This window comes from Homo sapiens, chromosome 2 (assembly GCF_000001405.40).
Source record: "Homo sapiens chromosome 2, GRCh38.p14 Primary Assembly".
Classification (NCBI taxonomy): Eukaryota; Metazoa; Chordata; class Mammalia; order Primates; family Hominidae; genus Homo; species Homo sapiens.
The window spans coordinates 7,793,729-7,814,786 of NC_000002.12; the positions used below are offsets into that span (position 1 = coordinate 7,793,729).

The 21,058-nt window shown below is 41.2% G+C and overlaps 1 long non-coding RNA gene across 1 annotated transcript in view; it reads right to left on the reverse strand.

Moving 5' to 3' along the window:
* Positions 1-3,369: 3,369 nt before the first annotated feature.
* LOC105373408 (uncharacterized) overlaps positions 3,370-21,058 on the reverse strand; it is a 66,343-nt gene continuing 48,654 nt past the window's right edge. The window contains exon 4 of the long non-coding RNA XR_922750.1: positions 3,370-3,536. This is a non-coding gene — a long non-coding RNA (uncharacterized LOC105373408). The remainder of the gene's footprint in view (positions 3,537-21,058) is intronic.

Genomic DNA, 21,058 nt, shown 5'->3' on the forward strand with positions numbered 1-21,058 from the left:
ACAGCACCACTTCATTTAGTTGGCATCTTGGTGAAATCATGGCTGAGAAGTTGGAAAAGATCTGTTTTCAGGGAGCAGAGGTTTTACTGCTGTGGACTTTCTGAACACACATCCTGTGCTCTCCCAGCCACCAGCCTGCTTGAATGGGACAGAATCCCTGGGTCACCCTCTCTTTCTGTCCGGTGACAACCTTCCCTGTTTCTTTATGGGATTCGAAGGTAGGAACGGATTGATCTGTATCACAGTCTTCAGGACTCATTCTTATTTGGGGAGGAACTTCAAATACAGGATGGGAATAAAGGACGTTAGAAAGAATCCTACGGAGCATAACATTTTTAACTATGGATTTGCTTATTTCTCTGCATATCCCTGTCTCCATTAATCCACATGGATTTGAGTGCAGGAAACATCTTTCGTTTCTGCCCTCCAGACCCTAGTGTAGGTCACTGCACAAAGCCAATGGTCCCATCTCCCTTTCTCCTGCTCTGTGAGCAGGTGCTGTGGCTCCCCAGGGTGCAGGTGAGAGGCTGCACAGGAACGCGCGTTCCACTGCCTGCTGGGAGCCGAGAATCTGCATTCTTACATCCAAGACCCATCAGAACAGAGCTGATTATCTTTGCCCAAAAGACCACTGGGAAAACTTCAGAGGTGAAGGATCAGTATAATTGGCTGTTTTAAAATGTATTAAGGTACCAAAAAAGGTGGATTAACTCCGTTTCTGAGCATACATTCAGACAGCATTTTGGCTTGGATTTTATTTATGGAATCATCATCTTACTAATAAAACCAGATTGATTGAACGCAATCACAGCTTGTATTTTCAAGGTAATCACTTCAGAGGGACAGAAAGACAGGGAACACAGTTTGGGGAGAGGGAGAAAGAGGAAGGAAGATGAAGAGGAAGAAAGAGAGAATGTTGCAAAATAGGAACTCACTTCACAGTATTCCTGACTTTCCTCCCCAGGTGCAGAAGAAGCCACACATGCCTGGTGTTCAAACCTATTTTTAGCCATGGTTTTTAACTTTGTAGCCTCATTCCATGTAATCACATGTGTCTCTAACCTCTACTTACTTACCCAAATGTATGAGAATCTGTTCAAAGAAGTACAATTTAATCTCATTTGAAGATTAGGCAATTGCCAAATTGTTTCAACCTGGTTGAGAATGACAACCAGATCTTCTGGGCTGTTTGGACCCCCTTAAAATTATATACCAAGTTTAATCAGAAATCATTCACCTTCTTCTTAAATCATCGGGACATTTTTTGAAAATGGAACGTGCCCAGCATTAGAGTTGAAACAAAGCCCTTGTGTTGTTTGTTGATTTAAGGAAGCACAGCATACTTTTGGAAGTTATTTGAACACAGGTGCACAGGGAACCCGGCAGCTTCCATGCACCTTTTGGCTCCATCCCAGGTCCTGTGTCAGCAAGGCCTGTGGCCTGCCCAACACATGAGGAAGCTTCTGATTTTAGTGAAATATGGATGTTGAGACGAGTTTGGGGTAGGTGTTTCCTAGAATGCCAAGGATGATGATGAAAGATCAGCTTACTTAAAAATGCATGATTTCATCCCATAGATATGGAAACCCAAGATGGCAGAAAAGAGAAAGCTTAATGGTGTGTGTGTGTGTGTGTGTGTGTGTGTGTGTGTGTGTGTGTTTGTGTGTGTTTCCCCAGAAATAGACACAAGATAGAAACAGCGTGTATGAAGCTGGGTTAAGGCTCTGTACCTAAAGAGTCACTGAGTTGGAAGGGATGTTATAGACTCTAATTCAGAGGCTTCTAGATGCCAGCCCAGGAATTAATAACAAACAGACTGCTTAGCAACAGCCTGGCTTGCTTCTTGAAAAGTCATATTCCTAGGTCCCATTTCAGACTTGAGGAATTAGAATCTCTAAGAAGCCACTTGAGGATCAATGGGTTCTGAAGAGCTCCCCAGGTTCCTCTAATGCATAACGTGGTTTAGATACTCTTTATTTAAATCTCTTACCTTATAAATGAAAAAAGTGAGATGCTGAGACATTGGCAAAAGTCACTCAAGGCCACCCATCTGGTGAGCAGGGAGCCCTCTTATGATCCAAGTCTCCCCATTCCTGTTGCAGTTTTCAGAAAGGTTGGAGAGGACACGTGTGTGACGTTGGCTTGACTCAGGTTTCACTTTGAAACCCTTTTGTTTTTTTTTAAAAAAAGGAACCTCTTCTCTTTTGGCAGGCTGCCTTCGCTTCCCCTACAAATAATTCTGTCTTTCAAACAAAGCTAAGCTTTTCTAAAGCTTAGAAAATCCATCCTAATCACAGTGTAGTTTCCCTCTTGTAAGTTTTATGAAAAGCTTAAGCCATTTTCTTCTTGCTGGGCTGTGGAAAAGGGAAGTTGTCTCATACCTCCTAGTCATTGTGAAATAGCCAATGGAGTAGTTTTGTGGGCATTAATCCTTTCCATTTATTTCAGTTGTCTAAAAATGTAAAGAATGTTTATTATGACCTAGGGCAGGGGTTGACAAATTCGTTCTGGAAAGGGTGGGTGGTAAATATCTTGCTGGCCATGTGGTCTCTCTCACAACTACTCAGTCCTGCCATTGACATGTCGCCAGGGACAGATAGCCTGTACAAAAGCGAGTGTGACAATGTTGCAATAAAACTTTATTGACAAAATCAGCTGATCTTTTGAGAGAACACAATCCAACTCACAACAGGGTCCCTGATTCTCCTTTTGCTGTTATCTACACAAGACCTGAGGACACTCAGAAGACCCGGCACCTTCCACCCCACTCCTCACCCACCCAAACCTACAATCTGGCTTGGGAATGTCATGGGGGAAACCCCAGCATGGGGTTTGCCAGAGGTCCTTACCAGAGGAGGTCCGGTAAGTTCCAGTTCTGGAACTCAGTAAGGGAGAGCATAAACAGGCTAGGCTATCCAAATGGAAGAGTCCACAAACCCAGTGAGGGAGGTGACTGAACCTTAGACAAGGCCATGACACCCACAGATCAGGAACCTGCTCATCAGGTGAGGAAATGCAGACCCTCTGTGGCTCGTTTGGAGGATGTTCTTGTAGAGCTAGGTCCACTCACCCGTCAAAAGTGCAACACTTACCTGTTAAAGGGTGTTGCTTCATACTTGACCACACCTTAATATGCACATGCAACTGTTACCATGAAAGGGCTCTGTGACATTCTTATGGATCAGAAGCAAAGAAAACAATATGTTTGATTGAGTTCCAGATTTCCACTGTTTATAATATGTAATGAACATGATTGTACATAGATTTCGAAAAACAATCAAACAATACATTTCATCGGTTTCCAAATTTTCCACTGTTTATAACATGTAATGAATATAATCTTACATAGATTTTGAAAAATAGTGTGACTGTTCCTTAGGATAAATTCCTAGAATCGAATTGGATTCAGAATGGGAGACATCCACATACCAAGCACCAGAAGCCACAACCTCTGAAGGAAGCATGGACTAGTTGAAAAATATGAGACAGCCACGGAGGCATCCAGCAACCTACACAGCTTCACCGTTTGCTTGGATCTGAAACAGAATGGCAGACGTTGGTTTGGAGATTGGGAAGCAGAGAATTAGAGGAGGAAGTCAGAGTTAAAGTCTTTGAATATTTCACTGGGGGTGGGTAGGATTCTCCAGTCAAGATAAGAAAATTGTTAGAACAAAGATAATTTAAAAAAAAAAAAGATTAGAAAAAGAAAAAGAAACCTGCCAGAAAAATTAAGTTTCTCTTAATTTCTGACAATTCTAGTGGTTTTGGACAGGGTTTTGGAGACGGAGTTCTGTACACATCAGAAAAAGGGGGAGCTTGGCCAACAACTGTTACGATGAATGGGCTCCATGATATTCTTACGGATCAGAAGCAAACAAAACAATATGTTTGATTGGTTTCCAAATTTTCCACTGTTTATAATATGTAAAGAATATGATTTTACATAGATTTTGAAAAACTGTGACTGTTCCTTAGAATAAATTCCTAGAATATAATTGCTGATTCACATAGCATGAATATCCTAAAATAAGTATAATAGGTATTGTATATTTGCATTTTAAAGATTTTCAAAAATGTATGCTCCAATAACAGTACCTGAGGAACTCTATTTTTTGATCCTCTACTCAAATCATTTATACCCATCATTTCTGAAATTTTCTTAATTTAAACTTCTTAGAACAGAGGAAATTTCTTTTTGATTTGCTTTTTGTTTATTGGCACTTCCAATTTTAAGTATTGTATCTTTACATCTTTGACTACTTTCAATGGGTTGCTTATTTCTTTTTTATTTTGTTGGTATTTTACATAGAAGGTAAATAAATCATCCTCTTGCAAATACAACCTCCTTTTGTCTTTGACATTCTACTTCATTTTATGAGTTTTTTGCCCTTCAGATTTTCTTCACATTTGTATGTATTCAAATGTCTCACTTTTTTTTTTTTTTTTTTTACTTTGTGGCTTTTTAGTTTTGTATCATACTGAGAAAGACTTTACCATTCCTAATTATTTATGCTTTAAATCATGTTTTTATTCCCTTTTAAATCCATTAATCATTTATTTTGATCTAAGAACTGAGATGCAATCCAGTTTTCCTGACAATTTTCTCATGATTATAACATCTATTTTTAGATACCTACAATGAATATCAGTCAGGGTTCCCTCAGTAAAACAGAACCAGTGGCATATAGATATTGAGGTCTATTGCAGGAATTGACTTATGCCATTCCAAAATCCATAAAGCTGGCCATCTGGAGTGGCAGGCCAGAACTCTTAGGCACCAGCTAGAGCTGATCCACTAGCTGAATTTTTACTTCAGAGGAGTTTCTGCGCTGCTCTTCAGATCTCTCAAATGATTGAATCAGATCCACCCACATTAATCTCCCTAATGAATGTCAACAGATCGTGGACTTTAATCACACCTACAAGATACCTTCACAGTAACACCTGGATGAAGGTTGGACTAACTAGGAACTGTAGCCTAGACAGGTTGACACACAAAATTGCCCCTCGCACTTACCTCTGCTACTTTCTAATGGACTGCCATTTGTTATGATTCTTATTTACTATCTTTGCAATAACGTTTACAAGTAAGATATTCTATTTTGTTTTTTTGTTTATTTTTGCATTGTATGCTAGATTAACTTTTAAAAACAAACATAAAGAGCTTGCATAAAAATGAAATCTTCTCTAAATTGGAAGCTTTTAAAAACTTGGTTTGGTCTTTGTAGGAGTCTGGGTCTAATCAGAAGACAGAATCCATGCAACAGGTTAAACAGGGAAGTTCAATATAAAGAATTACTAACTACTACAAAAGAGTAACTGATGTAAGGAAACTCTCTGGTACACTAGGACCAAGAGAGAGTACCCAAGTAAGGAAAAAGTTGGAAGGGAGTCAAACCTTGTTGGAGAAGATACAGTTTAACCCCCTGGGTGGTAGAGAAGTTCATAGTTTAGCCAGGCCCAAGCTGGCCAGCAATCTCTGGGAAAGCAGGAGGCCTCCCTCTGAGTGTAGGGTGTGGGTCTGGGGAGAAGGCAGTCCCAGGACAGGTGGGACAGTGCACAGAAGGAGTGAGTGAGGAGGGGGTGGGGGCCAAACTTGTGTGACTGCATCAGGAGGGGGAAGAAAGAGACATGGGGCAGGGAGGTGTTGGGCAAGGGACAACTGCTCCATGTGACTCTCTGGACACAGGTGGAGCAAACAGGCTGCACAGCACAGGAGTTTGCTGAGGTTGTCCAGGCAGCATGGGGCAAGTGGCTCTCAGTGTCTGTGGGTCATTGCCTCCCAGGCTGGGGGTGTGCACAGGGCTGCGTTCAAGTTGGAGGATGGGGCAGACTCCCTGGGTGTCCTCACACCCCCCAACCAAGGGCCCCACCTTCTCGAGTAATCACAGAAACCCAGCTGCCCTGCATGGCCCCTGCAGTGTCTCTATTGCCTAACACCCCTGCTTACTTTAAAAGGGAAAGGAATCCCACTGTGGGTCTAGTAGGTGCCTTTGGATCTAAGAGGCAATAAATTGATGACTGACACAGCCACATTGTGGAGAGTGTTTGTTAGTTTTCTCCATAAATATTTTCCTTTCTCTGCTTAAATCAATTTTGTGATAAGCTGGAAAGTTATTAACTTTATATGATCTCCAAGTTGTCTATTTAGTTATTGTTTTATTAATGTAATTATTAACATACATTTTATTAATATAATTGTTAATAATTATTGCATAATATCACTTCATAATTCAATTAATTTTTGCTGAGGCTAGTTGTTCATAAACTACCTTTCCACTAAGGACCACAGCCCACCCACCACTCTGCTCAGTGCTCTGGCCTCCTCTGTCCATCCTGCCCTGCAGCTCCAGGCATGGGTCTTTGAATCTGCTGTCTACTCTTCTGGGAATCCACTCCCTGTCTATGTGATATGATTTGGCTCTGTCTCCACCCAAATATCATCTTGAATTGTAATCCCCATAATCCCCACATGTCCAGGGAAGTACCAGGTGGGAGGTGATTAGATCATGGTGGTGGTTTCCCTTGCTGTTCTTGTGATAATGAGTGAGTCCTCATGAGATGTGATTGTTGTACAAGGCAGTTTTCCCTGCTCTTGCTCTCTCTCTGTCACCTGCCACCATGTAAGACGTGCCTCTTCCCCTTCAGCCATGATTGTAAGTTTCCTGAGGCCTACCCAGCCACGTGGAACTGAGTCAATTAAACCTCTTTTCTTTATAAACTACCCAGTCTCAGCAATGTCTTTATAGCTGTGTGAAAATGAACTAATACAGTAAATGGGAGTCGGACAGGAGTGGGGTGGAGCGGGGCACTGCTATACAGATAACCAAAAATGTGGAAGCGACTTTGGAACCAGGTAACAGGCAGAGGTTGGAACATTTTGGAGGACTCAGAAGAAAACAGGAAGATGTGGGAAAGTTTACAATTTCCTAGAAACTTATTGAATGGTTATGACCAAAATGCTGATAGTGAAATGGACAATGAAGTCCAGGCTGAGGTGGTCTCAGATGAAGATGTGGAACCTCTTGGAAACTGGATCAAAGGTCACTCTTGCTATGCTTCAGCAAAGTGTCTGGTGGCATTTTGCCCCAGCCCTAGAGATCTGTGAAACTTTGAACTTGAAAGGGATGATTTAGCCTGTTTGGCAGAAGAGATTTCTAAGCAGCATAGCATTCAAGAAAAGAAAAAGCATAAAAGTTTGAAAAGTTTGCAGTCTGACCATATGATAGAAAAGAAAAACTCATTTTTTTCTAGGGAGAAATTCAAGCCAGCTGCAGAAATTAACATAAGTAATGAGGAGCCAAATGTTAATTGCCAACACAATGGGGAAAATGTCTCCAGGGCATGTCAGAGAATTTTGTGGCAGCCCCTCCTATCACAGGCTCAGAGGCCTAGAAAGAAAAAAATAGTTTCCTGGGCTGGGTCCAGGGCCCCTGTGGCTCTGTGCAGCCTTGGGACTTGGTGCCCTGCATCCCAACAGCCAGGGATAAAAGGGGCCAAGGTACAGCTTGGGCTGTGGCTTCAGAGGGTGCAAGCCCCAAATCTAGGAGGCTTCCATGTGGTGTTGGGCCTGCAGGTGTGCAAAAGACAAGAATTAAGGTTTGGGAACCTCTGCCTAGATTTCAGAGGATGTATAGAAATACTTGGATGTCCAGGCAGAAGTCTGCTGTATGGGCTAAGCCCTCATGGAGAACCTCTGCTACAGCAGTGTGGAAGGGAAATGTGGGGTCAGAGACCTCTCACACTGTCCTTGCTGGGGCACTGCCTAGTGGAGCTGTGAGAAGAGGGCTGCTGCCCTCCAGATGCCAGAATTGTAGATGCACTAACAGCTTGCACAGTGTGCCTGGAAAAGTTGCAGACACTCAATGCCAGCCTGTGAAAGCAGCCAGGAGGGTAGCTGTACCATGAAAAACCACAGAAGTGGAACTGCCAAGGCTGTGGGAGCTTACCCTTTGTGTCAATGTGACCTTGATGTGAGACATGGGGTCAGAGGAGATTATTTGGAGCTTTAAGATTTAATGACTGCCCCACTGGATTTTGCACTTGCATGGGGCCTGTAGCCAATTTATCCCATTTGGAGTGGGAGCATTTATCCAATGTCTGTACCCCCATTGTATCTTGGAAGTAACTAACTTGCTTTTGATTTTACATGCTCATAGGTGGAAGGGACTTGCCTTGCCTCAGACTTTGGACTTAGACTTTTGACTTAATGTTGGAATGAGTTAAGAGTTTGGAGGACTGTTGGGAAGGCATAATTGTGTTGTGAAATGTGAGGATGTGAGATTTGGGAGGGGCTAGGGAGGAATGATATGGTTTGGTTCTGTGTCCTCACCCAAATCTCATCTCAAATTATAATCCCCATAATCTCCATGTGTGGAGGGTGGGAAGTGATTGGATCATGGGAGTGGCTTCCCCAATGCTGTTATAGTGATAGTGAGTGAGTTCTCATGAGATTTGATGGCTTTATAAGGCAGTTTTTCCTGCTGTTGCTTGCTCTCTTTCACCAGCTGCCATGTAAGATGTGCCTTGTCCCCTTTCACCATGATTGTAAGTTTCCTGAGGCCTTCCCAGCCATGCAGAACTGTGTCAATTAAACCTCTTTTATTTATAAATTACACACCTTGGGGAATATCTTTATAGCAGTGTGAAAATGGGCTCATACACTATGTCTGCATAGTTCTCTATTTCCTGTAGGTCTCTTCTCAATGGCCACCTTGTCAGAGGGAATGTGACTACCTAACCTGATCAAATATCATCCCCATCATGTTCTCTCCCTTCCTCTGTCTTACTTTAATCCTCAGCACTTTTTGCTCTCTGACATATTACATGTAAGTTGTCTGTTTGTTTATCTCATCTACCTCTGTTACTAGGACATATGCGAGACAAAGCAGGGACTCTGCTCCTGTTTACTGCTGTATCCTCAGTGCCTGGAACTATGACTGACACATGGGAGAGATACAATACATTTTTGTGGTTGAATAAATTTCACCTGTTCTTGGATCTATTGGGAGAATGGGGTGGATAGAAGCCATTTGGCAATATCCCATGTAGTTAATTCCCTGGGGAAATTCATGAAATATTGCAGGAATAAAGGTGGTCCATGAGATGTGGCCCTAATTGTTGTGCTGGTGGTTGGAGAGGAGCTCCGGGAAGCCTGATGTTGCTTACTGCCAGGCCCTCTTAGAAGTTAGCAACCCTTTATCTACACAGTGGAGCATTGTGTCTCACCTGTTTACAATCTGTTTCTGTGCTTGGGGATATGGCAGAATAATATGAGAATTTCTGGTATAGACCAACCTGGTCAGACCTCACAGCCTTTGAGCTCCTGGGTTCCCACTGTCATTTCCCTGATTGCTGCCTCTCAAGCTGTCAGAACACTCCCTTGCCTCTGTGTTTTTCCCTGGCCCCTCACTCACATTCACCCCCAGTAGCTACAACTTAGCCCTTCTCTAAAAATACCTGTGGGGCCATTCTATGGTCTGAATGTTTGTGTCTTCCCCAGATTCATATGTTGGATATATTGAAATACCCAATACGATGGTATTCTGAGATGGGTCCTACGGGAACAAATGAGGCCATGAGACTGGAGCCCTCATGATTGGGGTTTATGCCTTTGCCAAATAGGGAGCTCCCTCACCCTAAGAAGGCAGCAGTCAGCAACAGGGAAGAGAGCTCTCTCCAGAACCTGACCATGCTGGCACCCTGATCTCAAACTTCCAGTCTCCAGAACCATGAGAAATAAATTTCTACCATCTATAGGTCACCCTGTTTATGGTATTTTGTTATAGTGCCCTGAACAGACTAAGACAGGCCACAGAAAATAAAAGCACGAACACTCTATTCTTGTGTGTCCTCTGTATTAGGAGAATCTCCATGGTCAGTGCGGCATGCTCTCCTCTCTAGTTCATTCCCTGACCTTTCCAGCCTATGAAGCCTGGGAACATGTGTGGACCAAGGCCTCCTGGTGAGTGAAAAATGCAGAACAGGAGTCTGGTGAGCTGTGAGCAGCCCGACAACTTTGGGAAAGAAGCATGCACCGGGACATTTCTCCTGGCCTTCCCTCCCCAACCACCCAAGGCTGCAACTGATGTGATTTTGGAAAATACTCTTGTTTTGCAGTCCAAAACATTCACAAAAGGCATAAAATTGACTTGGTGGCTTCCCCACAACCCTCCCCCGCTGGGAGATTCCTCTTTAAAAACTTACATATGTTCTATCTTATTGTTTTACTTAAAACAAGGGAATTTGAACTTACGGTATTATAATTGACTTTAAAAACTCAACTCAGAATTATTTTTGTACACATATTAAACTAATTTACTAGCTGAAAGGTCTTGACCAAAGTGGTCCAGAAGAACATTGATTTTTTTCCCACTTCAATTTCCCTCTCATTGGAAGATTTCTGTTTTCTTGTAAGCAAAATACATTCAGAAAAAAATTGCAACACTATTTTCAAAATCATATTAATTAAGCATAGCTAGTTTTGCTGTATTAATTTCCATCTTTTTAGATGCATTGTAAAGATGTGAAATGCTAGTCTCACAAAACTGGGCATTGGATAAAACTTGAGCTGAATTAAGCATCCATAAGTTACCTCTAAGTAAACTCTGGTACTATTAGGTTAGTGCAAAAGTAATTGTGGTTTTTTTTGTCATTACTTTTAAAAAAACATGGCAAAAACTGTGATTACTTTTGCACCATTCTAATAGAATTGTAGAGTTAGGGAATTTTAGAATTGAGAGAAGAATGCTATAAAGGATTTGTGAGCTCATCTAATTCAACCTTGCATTTTACTCAAACAAGACCAAATCTTTCTGGAGCAATAAATGCCATGCATCCCCCACATTTCTATCCCAATGGGCATGAGTTTGAAACTCAGATGGAGAGTAGGGTCCCAGGCCTGAGTTGGGCATGTGTGCACGGGCAGGGAGGAGGTGCGTGGGAGGTGGGGACGATTGGTCTGCACAGCCAAGAGCCCAGTGTCATCCAGGATGCAGCTTGACTGACAGCCAAGATGATGGATGGTGGCCATATCTGCCCAGGACTCCCGGGGAGCCTCTGCCTGTGGCTCCTGCATTAACATTTGAGTGGAGATTATTTAGCACCAGGATTCCAGAGTACCTGATGGCTCAGACCTCCACAGAAAGCCCACATTGAACACACACACACACACACACACACACACACACACACACACACATGCGTGGGTGCTTCTATTCTGCTCTCAGTCCCAGACATCCCCATAACCCTCTCCAGTGGGTGGTTTCTGGTCTTCCACAAGGTGTTGAGAAGGAACAGTGGTGACCTGGGCCATGGAGATTCATTAACCCAGATGTCAATGGACACAGGGCATATTCTGGTTGCTTTGGCCAGAGGTAGGGATACTGTGGTCAGTAGACCCAGAGTGAGGAGCCAAAGGCAGTGTCAGGGTAGAAGAGGACTGCAGGGGGCCAGGCCACACAGCATCAGGTCCATTTACCCAACTAATTGTCAAGGGGTTGCCTGCCTGGTGGCCTCAAAGCCTCTGGTCCTCCCTTCCCTGTAGGATGACAGCCACAAGAGCCTGGGATTGGAGGCCCCCAGAACACACCTTGCTCTGAGGCTGAATCTGCGGGAAATGCCCGTCAGGTCCTGGCCAGTGCCCTTGAGGAAGCTGCAGTCTGCGCTGGCAATAAGAACACCGCATCTAAGTGAAAGGACTGGTGTGTAGAGCGCTTCCAGAAAGGCCGACTCTAGAGAAGGCAGGTTTTATCAGCCAGTGCCCAGAAAGCCAAAGCCACTGGCCTAAGGAGCCACAGCTGACGAGTGGTGGCCTGGGCCCCACAGATGCTAAAGGTGATGGGCAGCGGTGGGGGCCATTCATAAACCTGCAGGGCCCATGATAAGAATATGTTAGTCCAGGCACAGTGGCTCACGCCTGTTATCCCAACACTTTGGGAGGGCAAGGTGGGCAGATTATTTGAGGTCAGGAGTTTGAGACCAGCCTGACCAACATGGTGAAACCCCATCATCTCTACTAAAAATACAAAATAATAATAATAATAATAATAATAAGCTGGGCATAGGGGCGCATGCCTGTAGTCCCAGCTACTCAGGAGGCTGAGGCAGGAGAATTATTTGAACCCAGGAGGCAGAGGTTGCAGTGAGCTGAGATTGCACCACTGCTTTCCAGCCTGGGCGACACAGTGAGACTCCATCTCAAAAAAAAAAAAAAAAAAAAGAATGTATTAATATAGAAGCCCATTTGACAAAAATATCAAGCACACCAAGAAATTGTTAACTAAAGTAGATTTGATCCACAAACCTTAACAAATAAAACTTCATAATAGAGATGAAAAATTGCTTGGTTTTCATATAACTGAAATTCAGCAAAATATTAAAGATGACTGAATTTCATTTTTGCTGTGCATGTCTGGGTGTTTCATTGATAGGATGATGATATTTGAATAAGTAAAAAGATAAAGACAGATAATTCACCTAAATTTAAAAGATATTTTCCTCTGTAATGGTTGCCTCAGTTTCTCTCCCACAAACAGATGATGATACATATTAGCTCACTCCCTAACCGATGCTGACTATATGAGAAGAGGTTGCACATCACTTAATGTTGCTGCTGTAGGTATTTACAATGTCATCAATATACTAATTTTCTTTGGACTTCATTTATGGTACTTTTAGTCATGAAAAAGTTATTTCTAATTTTGAAAAGGGTAAACAATATCAAATATCAAAACAGCACAAAAATATAGACTCTAAAAGAGTACTGACAGTGGGGAGGTTGACAAATATGACAATGGAATGAATGGAGGAATAAACAGGCCTATGGGCATAAGACGCTATATTGTAAGAGTGGCAGAGGTATGGTACATTTGATAAATGTTGGAACAAAGACCATTAAACTGGGAAAATATTCGGACTGCTACCTCAAGTTTATAAGGCTTGGAGAGATTAAAGGGTTAATATCCTCAAATAAAGATAATTTGGCTCATTTCTTTGTATTTTATATGCTTTTATTGCTTCTCTAATTGAAGCAGCTAATGATTGTGTTAAGCAATGCTGATAGCATTTCACTTTACAGGTTTTTAGCCAATATTGTCTGGAATGCTTCTAAAGTTTCCCCATTAAGAGATATCTGTCATTATTTTAAGAAAATATCTATCTGTTCCAATTTATCCATACTGATAATAACTTACAAGGTTTATGAAATGTATTTTTAGTGTCTATGGAAATTTCCTATAAATGAGATTATTGGTCCCTTAGGGCAATTGTTCCCAACCTTTTTGGCACCAGGGGCTGGTTTTATGAAAGACAATTTTTCCATGCATGGTGGGAGGTTGGGGCAATGGTTTCAGGATGAAATTGTTCCACCTCAGATCATCAGGCATTAGATTCTCATAAGGAGTGTGTAACTGAGATCCCTCGCAGGTGCAGTTCATGATAGGGTTTGTGCTCCTACGAGAATCGAATGCTGCCACTGACCTGACAGGAAGGAGAGCTCAGGTGGGAATGCTAGCTTGCCCAGTGCTCACCTCTTGTTATGCAGCCTGGTTCCTAAACGGCCAAGGCCCAGCACTGGACCTCAGCTTGGGGGGTTGGGGACCCCTGCTTTAGGGTGTATTTATTTTTGAAGACTTTGAAATTTATTTCCAAAGATTCCTCCAGAATTTTAAATCAATCTAGATTCATGTCAAATGTTTCTAATACTTTAGGTTTAGAAATACCTAAATACTTCAGATTTCTGCAGTTTATTAGAAATAATAAATTTTGATGTATATATTCTTCCCCTTGCCTGACTACACAACACCAAAGAACTACCAAATTCTCTGCGGATTTTTTTTCTTTAAACACAATAAGATACAAATATGTATATGTATTTCTACCCCTTTGTACCAAACAGTTAAATGTGTATTTGAAATATTTTTGTTTGTACCTATAGAATATCTTCATTATGCGTTTTTACAGATGGATAGAATTCTGTGAATAGAAGCAATACAAATTATTCGAATGCTACTATTGATGGGCATTTAGCTAGTTTTCAGTACCTTGCTGAAATGCAGCTGAACATAATTCTGTAGGTACAGCGCACATGGTAAAAGGCAGCGCGCATGGTAAAAGGCAGCGCGCATGGTAAAAGGCAGCGCGCATGGTAAAAGGCAGCGCGCATGGTAAAAGGCAGCGCGCATGGCACCTGGCTTCTTGGGTGGCTCCTGACAGCGTAGATGATGAAATTTGAAAGTGCAACGAGCTGAGCTCCTGTGGGTGAACTTTGACCATTTGAAGCTAGGTAGACCGATTCTGCCTCTTTCTTCTCTCAGGAAGGTTCTGAAGGGTCATTTCTCCTTGAAAATCTTCTCGAGAAGTATCACATGTCGCGTGAACACAAATGCTAAACACCTGAGAGGCCAGCACCGCCTTCTCGCCTACTGCAGTGCTGAAATTGTCCCTTTGTCTCGCTGATTTTTCCTCTCATTTTCACAGCCTGGGTCTTGAAACAATGTCAGCACTTTAATCCTTGTTTCAGGCTCATCTTTCAAGAAAACTCAGGCACAGGAAATAGTCTTACTTATTTTTTATCCACTTGATATATCATGGCTGGTGAGATAAGAGAGAGGAATTAATGTCTGTTATCCCAGTATGCTAAATTTCGTGCTGTATCTCTTCTAATTTCTACTTTGTAAATGTTGCTGATATGATACTTTATGCATAGATTTTCAAAACCGCTCATAAATTTACTCGGCAAGCATTTTTATTGAGGAATTGCCATGTGTCAGAAATTGACCAAGGACTTAGAATGTAGTGATTAAAAAAGTGGTTCTAATCCCTAACCCTAAGTATCTAGATTCCAATGTTTCTTCATTGTGGAGAGTATTATTTAAAAATAGAAGCTCATCAACTTTGGGTCATTTTATATTTTGTGCAATGAATTCCATCTTGCCTGGCATTAAGATCATTACCACTAGTTATATAATTCTTGCATTTACCATTATGCTATGCCCATTCATTTAATTTCAAGTTTCCTCAATCACTTTGCTTAGATGTGTCTTTTTCCACATTATAGAGTTGGATTGTGTTTTGTGTTTTCTGATTCTTTCTCAAATTTTTTTCTTATAATAGGAGAGATATACTATTTACATTTATTGATAAGAAAAATATACTTGAACTTGCCTCTTTTATTAGTCAGTTTAACCAGAAAAAAACAAACCAGTAGCTCAGATATACATGAACATATTTTTGTAAGGAATTGACTTATACAGTTGTGGGACCTGGCAAGGCAAGTCCAAAATCTGTAGGGCAGGCCACCAGCAAAGACAGGTTGTGATTCACAGGCCAGAAGAGCTTCTGCTGCTCACAGGTAGGATCTCTTCTTCAGGAGAGCCTCGGCTCTGCTCCTGGGACCTTTCAATGGATTGAATCAGAACCACCCAGATCAGCTAGAGTAATCTCCCTAATTAATGTCAACTGATTGTGGACTTCAATCACATCTACAAAATACTTCCTTAGCAACACCTAAATGGCTGAATGACTGGGGACTGTGGCTTAGACAAGTTGACACATGAAACTCCTCTGACATTTTATGTTACCTTTTCTGATTTGTTGTTTAAAATTATGTGGTCTACTTTCATGATCATTTTTATTTTTTGTGGTTTTTCTAATACTTAGAAAAATCTGTGTTTTTCTTTCATGTTTACCTTTAGTGCTAAACTTTAATATAACACCCCTAGTCTCTATTTACTTAGACAGTATCTACTGTTTCCTTATTGTAAACCATGTTGAAAATAATGTGTACTTTGCCCTTCTGGTCATCTTTCTCTGTTCAATCCCCTAATTTCAGTCCATGAAGTCTTTGCTAACGTGGACTTTTGTCTTGTCAAATATGCTTATACTTCTGTTATTTGATTTTTCATCTTTAAATGATACGATCCAATAGCCAGCTATCACAGCTAAAGTCATCAAAAAATTGACTCTGCCTCACCTTTCTTCTCCTTTTCCCTCCCAATTTTGTCATTTCTCGGTTGCCTAGGCATATGAAATTTGTAGTTCTCTATATCTCAGCAATACTCATGGGAATTTCTGTTTCATGTCTACAGTTCATTCTATTCAATGTTCACCACTAGGGTGACAGTTTCCCCCATCACTTCTTGGCTGCAGTTCATCCTCTAGTAATTTTATTGTGCGGGTTCTTGGCAATACTGTAGTCATACTCCTGGTGTTCTTGTTTTTCATAAAGTTTGCCTATAGTTTTAATATTTGAGAGACAGATTGGCTAGATATCAAATCATTGGTCCTCACATTTCCTGGAGGAGTCATGTAGGTGCTGCCTCACTTTCCTCTGGTGTTAACGATTTTGGGGGGAAATTTGAGATTACATTTTTTTCCATTCTTATTGTGATGTTTTCCCTGGCTGCCCTAAGAATTCTTCCTTTATCTTTAAAACCGTTAGCTTCATTCGTGCAGGTCTCAAAGTTGACCATTTCACATCAATTTCCTCTAGCACATAATGAAGACTTTCCACACATAGATTCAAGTATTCTTTCATTTCAGGAAAATAAATGTTTTATTTCATTTTATTTTTTTGAGACAGAGTTTCGCCCTTGTCGCCCAGGCTGGAGTGCACTGGTGCGATCTCCGCTCACTGCAAACTCTGCCTCCGGGTTCCAGAGATTATCCTGCCTCAGCCTCCTGAGCAGCTGGGATTACAGATGCCGGCCAGCAAGCCTGGCTAATTTTCTGTATTTTTAGTAGAGATGGGGTTTCACCATGTTGGGCAGGCTGGTCTCTAACTCCTGACCTCAGGTGATCCACCTGCCTTGGCCTCACAAAGTGCTGGGATTACAGGCTTGAGCCATCATGCCTGGCCAATAATTGTTTTTTTTAATAACATTAAATGTCTGTTGTATTCTACTGTGGCAGTGTGTTCTATTGCTTCTTTGGAGACGCCAATGTGTATGTTAGCTCTATTTTCTAGCCTTTTTATGGCTATTATTTTCTTTCTTATCCTTTTTAGTCCTTTGTTTTCATTTCTATTTGTTTTAGTTTTGTACGTTTTTCACATCTCTCATTTCTAGCCGTGTCTCTTGGTAGATTTTGTGAAGTACCTATTTTCCCACACTTCATTTTTATGATCTTTCCATTTCTTTTCTTCTACTTTTGTTCTCAAGTTATACTAGTAACTTTTTAAAAAATCTCCTTTTATCAGCTTTCAATTATTTCCCTCCAGTCTTGCATTTCTGAGCTGTGGTCTTTCTGCTCAGAGTAAACTGTTTCAAAGCCTTGTGTTTCATAGGGAAATGGGAACAACTTTCTTTTGCTATATGGCAATACTTTTTCTGGTAAGTCATCATATATCAAGTTTTTTTACATTTATTTATTGTTAGATCATTGTTGTGTCTTTTAACACTTAGCATTGAATAGGTTGGATTTTCTTAAGTCGTATTCACAGGAATTTCTGAGAGTGGTGGCTGTTGGGGGAGAAACTAAGACTAGCAGGCTGACAATCTAGGGTTCAGAGCTGGAAGGTTCAGTAGATGCCCACTGCCACAGAAACTGTTTTTCTCTAATACCTCAGGTGAGTCATTCTCTACCCCTAAGTTATCTTTGCCCTGATTCAAAATAGATACAGAAACAATTATTCCACCATCCTTGCTCTCCCCAGTTTCCCGACCCATTGTTGCCACACAGGCAGCAAAATATGTTCTTTTTGGGGTACCCGCTTGCCTTCAGGAGTGTCTTTTGCTGGCCTATTCTAAGGTCACCTGCTGGGTCTCTCACTACCACTGACCTTCTCCTCCTTCCTTCCTTACACCAGTGTTTCTGCATGATCTTGGAGGATTTGGGCAAGCTTTGTATGTATTTAGAGATCTGTGGATTTATATGTATCATCAAGTTCCACTAAAACTGGAGATTATATGCTTGTTTTTGTTTCATTTTGTTTTGTCTTTTAACGTTCTCCCTGCTGCTTTGGTATAATGTCCATGGGGAGAACCGAAAAACGCTGACTTGTACCTGTGTTCACCCAGGAAGTTTCTTCAGTACTTTTGACACAAAACTTTTTTCACTCATATTATCTGTTGTGTAATGTTCCAAGGATTTAAAAATTTAAATTCCTCTTGTTTAAAGAAGTACTTTTTAGACTTTTTGATTATATCTTCAGGTAAAAAGTATAAGTGCACTCTACCCTGAGATTCATACATTTCCAAATATACATACACATCTATAACAAATAGCAACCAAATAATTCTCAGTTTTGCCAGTATACTGCACTAATATTTTCTTTTTTCACTCTGTTCTACTTTTTTTTAAATGCTTGTAATGCCTCATTAAATTCAGTTTATGATTCACTAGTGGCTTATTATCCTCTCTTTGGAAAACTTTCATCTGGAAGATGTATTTATTCTGTACCTAATATTTATTGAGCATCTTCAATGGCTGACATACTGTGCACATTCAAATATAATTTCTATCCTCATGAAAATTTACAGAAAGGCAACTAAATGGTTGAGTATTAATAAGGCAATTGTGAAGAGGATGATAATTGTACCATAACTACCTTATATTTACATAGCCTAATAGAGTTAATAATTTTGTAATTTATATCTAATTAATTTTTTAAAACACTGTACCAGTTGGGCAGGGATTATGTTGTTTCTCAAGTAACATTTTTTAAGGCTCAGGAATGTTGTGACTCACTCAAGATCACACAGTCATATGGGCGGACTATAACATATGTGCTTTGATTCTTAGTCATTGCTCTTTATATCCCATTAAACACAGAATCGATTCCAACAATTAACTATCAGAGAATATTAAACATAGATAAAATAAAAATTGATTTTAAAGAGTGAAATACCAGCACTGCATAAAAATATTTTTTATTCATCTTCAAACATTAATTCTAGGAAGCATACCTTAAAATGCTTGGGTAGTTAAGATAACAACACACACACACACACCCCTCAGAGGTGCTCTCTGGAATGGAGATATGGTTAGCATTAAAAGAAAAACTTCAGCCAAATTAAATTTAAAGGAGTTTGAGCAATGAATGATTCATGAACTGGGCAGCCCACAGAATCACAGCAGATTCAGAGAGACTCCAGGGATACCTTGTGGTCAGAACAAATTTACAGACAAAAAAGAAAAGTGATCTACAGAAATTGAAAGTGAGGTACAGAAACAGCTGGATTGGTTACTGGTGTTTGCCTTGTTTGAACACAGTTTGAACACCCATCAGTCTATGAGTGATTGAAATATGGCAACTGGGATTGGCCAACACTCAGCTATTGTTACAGGCGCATACTCCTAAGTTAGGTTTTCAGTCTTGTCTACCTATTAAGCTAAGTTACGGTTCATCCACAGGGACTCAAATATAGAAGTATGGAGTCCTTTGCAGGCCATATTTAGTCCACTTTAACAATGGTAACTATGTTTCCCCAAGGATTGCTACCAGCTGACAGTAAATGCTCAAGATCAGTGGAGAAAATGGACTGAGTGATACGTTCTGTGGACATATATTTATGGAAGGCAGCTTGAAGGAGGTAATGAGAGTTGGGGATCTTTTGTAATGTATAGAGTTTGATATCAGCAAGAAGGCACAGGCCTAGACTCTGCTTCTAGAATCTCAATCTTCTGGGAGTGTGGCTCCTTGGTGAATGCCATTGTAATGGAGACCAACCCAAGAGAGCTGACCTCAAGCCCTCTGAGGAAGACGGACCGATTCAAAGGACTGCAAATGACCCACATATCTGAGCAGAGGGTCTTTTAGGGTCAGGGAGTATTTGATATAGGGGAATCAGACTAGCAGAGCCAAGACACCTGCATGGAAACTAGCAGAGGCAGTGGAGTGATTTTCATTGGAGAGCTAAGCCTTTCCAAGGAGCAGTAGACCCTAACCAGGATACCTGTCCCACCTGCTTGTGTCAAGCTTCTTAGGCCTTCCAGATCTGACTGCCTTACTTGACCTGCTCCCATGCTCACATCAGCCATGTGAATTGACCAGTCATAGCTTGGCTTCCATCCCATTTTTGCCTAAGACCAGTATCAACTCCCACAAACCAGACACCCTTGAAAACTCCAAGCTGGTGTCCTCGGCTGTCATAGTCCATCAACGACAGTCTAACAGAGAAGATTTCATCCATATCTGCAAACTGAGCTGAGGGGTTGAAAATAAGGAGGTTATGAAAGAAAACAATAAAGCAAAGATTGAAAGGCTCTGCAGAAAAGGAAAAGAGAAAACAAAGGCTAGACACAGGTTGTGTTTTCCTTCAGAGAGCCTGCATAAGCATCTCAGACTTCAGCAGGATGTCCAGATGTCGCCGAATGAGAATACAGCCAAATGCAGTTCATGAACTTGCTCACGTTTTCAGCGCTGCCGCAGCTGTGACCTGGAATTTAGCCTTAAACTATGGCAGTGTGACTTTCAAGGGAAACGCGAACATTTAGTTACTGGCCAACAGCTTTTTGCCAGTGATTCATTCACAACATGGGGCAGTCCTACTGAAGTGAAATTTTATTATTTAATTGATATAATCCAAAACTCCATGAAGAGTTCATTCATTCATTACTCATTTGCAAAGTAGTTTGTTCTTCTTCTAAAATGGAATTTCATGACTATATTCCCAGAGACAGGATCAGGGTCTGGCACATAATAGGCATGCAATAAATATTTTATTGAATAAATGAGTGAATGAACTCAAGAGATTGTTGTAAATGCCTTTATGTGAGATACAGCCAATTCAAAATAAACCCATTCCCAGGCTTCAAGACATTAGGTATGGGAGGCAACCACATAAACTCTAGAATACAGAAGGTAAGTGTTTCTTCTAGATATGGTTTGGATTCGTGTTCCCTCCTAAATTTCATGTTGAATTTTAAGCCCCAGTGTTGGAGGTGGGGCCTGCTGAGAAGCGATTGGATCATGGGGGCAGACTTCTTATATGTGGTTTAGCACCATCTTCTTGGTACTGTTCTCATGATAGTGAGTTCTCATGAGATCTGGTTGTTTAAAAGTGTGTGGCACCTGCTCCCTCTCTTTCTCTTGCTCCTGCCCCTGCCATGTAAGATG